We start from the raw sequence: 2,383 nt of genomic DNA, 5'->3' as shown, positions 1-2,383 counted from the left end.
TGATTGAGTAAATGAATGAATGGAGTTACTAAAAATTGTGACACAACCCAGCCCCTGTGTCCTCCACATTTGAGAGGATATAGCAAGTTCTCTGTATAGCTGCTTGAAATCCCTCTTTCATTTGTTGTGAGATGAAAGTCAAGCACCTCTCTCCCCTTCCATAAACAGTCAAGAAAAGAGGCTGAAGCACCCCCACTCTCTGCATCCTTCTTTTATACCCTGGAGAGGGTGATGGGCTAATTTCAGTGACCCGCTTTGCCAATCCTGTCTACCACCTGGCCTTGGAATGGGGGCACCTGCATCTAATTTTATTCTTGGCTTCTGGGGCCTTGGCCAGAACCAAGATAAGCATCCTGTTAACATATACTTACGTATGTATACACACATAGAGAAAAAAGCACACAAATGTGACAGGGCCAAATTTTATATATTGCATTGTGTTCTTTCTATTTCACTTAATATTATACTGTATGCATTTTCATATTACTGAATATTCACATAAAAATCAATCTTTGTAACTGCATAGTATTTTATCATATGACTTTACTGTAATTTATTCAACTAAATCTCTAACATTAGACAATTAGATTATTTTCAATATTTAGTCACTGGGGTAAACATTTTGCATTCAATCTTTGATGGATTTCTAAAGTCCCAGAAGAGGAATTATTGGATCAAATGATGTGGAGATTTGTTGAGGGAATTTGTGCTAGTTTTCTATGGCTGCCATAACAAATTATGAATGATTTAGTGACTCAAAGCCACACTCTTTTCTTATTTAGCAGTTCTGTAAGTTAGGCATCCAGTGGGTTTGGCTGGTTTCTCTGCCTGAAGCCTCACAAGTCCAAAATTAAGGTGTCAGCAGGGCTGCATCCCCTTCTGGAGACTCTAGAAGAGAACCTGTTTCCAGACTCCTTCATGTTGTCAACAAAATTTAGTTCCCCGCACCTGTAGGAAAAGGTCCCCATTTCCTTGCTGACTGTCAGCTGGGGCCTCCCTTAGCTATTAGAGTCCACTTTTTGCACTTGCAAGAAGCCCACCATAGCTCAGGACTAGAAACAGGGTTGAATCATTCCGAAGCAGACACATGTCTCTGCCTCCCTCTTCTGCTCTTAAGGGTTCAAATGATTACATTGGGCTCATCTGATAGCATAGGATAATGTCTCTATTGTAAGGCCAGCTGATTAACAGCCTTAATTGCATCTGCAAAGTCCCTTTTGTCTTCGTAAGGATCAAAAGCCATGGTGGCCAAAATCCCACCTACCACATACAATAGGTATTGCCTTTCAGAATGTCCTGTATCAGTGTATACTGCCTCCAGCATTGTATGAAAATTTCCATTTTCTCACATTCTCCTCAAGCATGGGCCTTATTATTTAGGCAATGAAAATTACAATAACAAACTTCACATTTGATAGGTAAAAAGGCATTTCAGTGTTGCTTGAATTTGTTCCCGAGTTTGCATGCTTCTTTGGAAAAATTAGAATACCTTGTAGCACTGGGCTTACATAGCCACACGGTGACAATCTTGTGGAACAGATTAAAGGCTGCCTTCTGTACACAAGGCATAAGTTTTCTACTTTGCCACAGTCTCCAGCATTCCCTGTTGTCTCTGACAAAATGTGTGAATTCTATTGCCTATCGGTCAATCTGGTTGAATGTGCAATTATTGATACTCTGACAGAAAATTACAATGGGTGACATTGAGCGGGATACTGGGTGGCTTTTTATCCAGGATACTTGGTGGCTTTTAAATCCATTTATGGATTTTAAATCCATTTAAATTCATTTGGATTTAAAATCCAAATGAAGATGGGTTTTAAACAACATTTTATAAAATGGTCATTGAATGCATAGTCGTGCAGAGATCCATAGACAGCAGGCCATGTGACAGGAGTCCAATGTGCTTGTTTCTCTGCTGCCCAGCATGGCATGGAGCAGGAGCAGCTCTGAACTAGAGTAGCCAGAGCAGATGTCCAGCACCTGAATCAATCAGGAAGTGACGACGACTGACAGTAAGAAGTAGGGCAACTATTTTCACCAATATGCTGGCATGTGTTTTGACACAAACCCTACAAAACCCTGTCTCTTTTTTTTTTTTTTTTGGCACCCTGTACCAAATATGCCATAATGTACTTCACAGATGATTTCTCACTTAAAAAAAAAATGATGCCAGATTCAGGTTCCTTTCAAAACAAAGGATGTGAGAACCAAAAAATGTAAACTGCAGGATGACTGCTGAAGGGAGAAAAGAGAAACATATTGAGAAGCCAAAGCACAGCAGGGCTTGTTGATGGACTGTCATAAACTTGGTAAAATAAATACGTGCATTGAAGCAAAGTCCCATATTTTATACATATGGTTCATTTCATGAAGAAATTTG

This window comes from Homo sapiens, chromosome 5, assembly GCF_000001405.40.
Source record: "Homo sapiens chromosome 5, GRCh38.p14 Primary Assembly".
Lineage (NCBI taxonomy): Eukaryota > Metazoa > Chordata > Mammalia > Primates > Hominidae > Homo > Homo sapiens.
Note: the sequence above shows the minus strand (reverse complement) of the source record.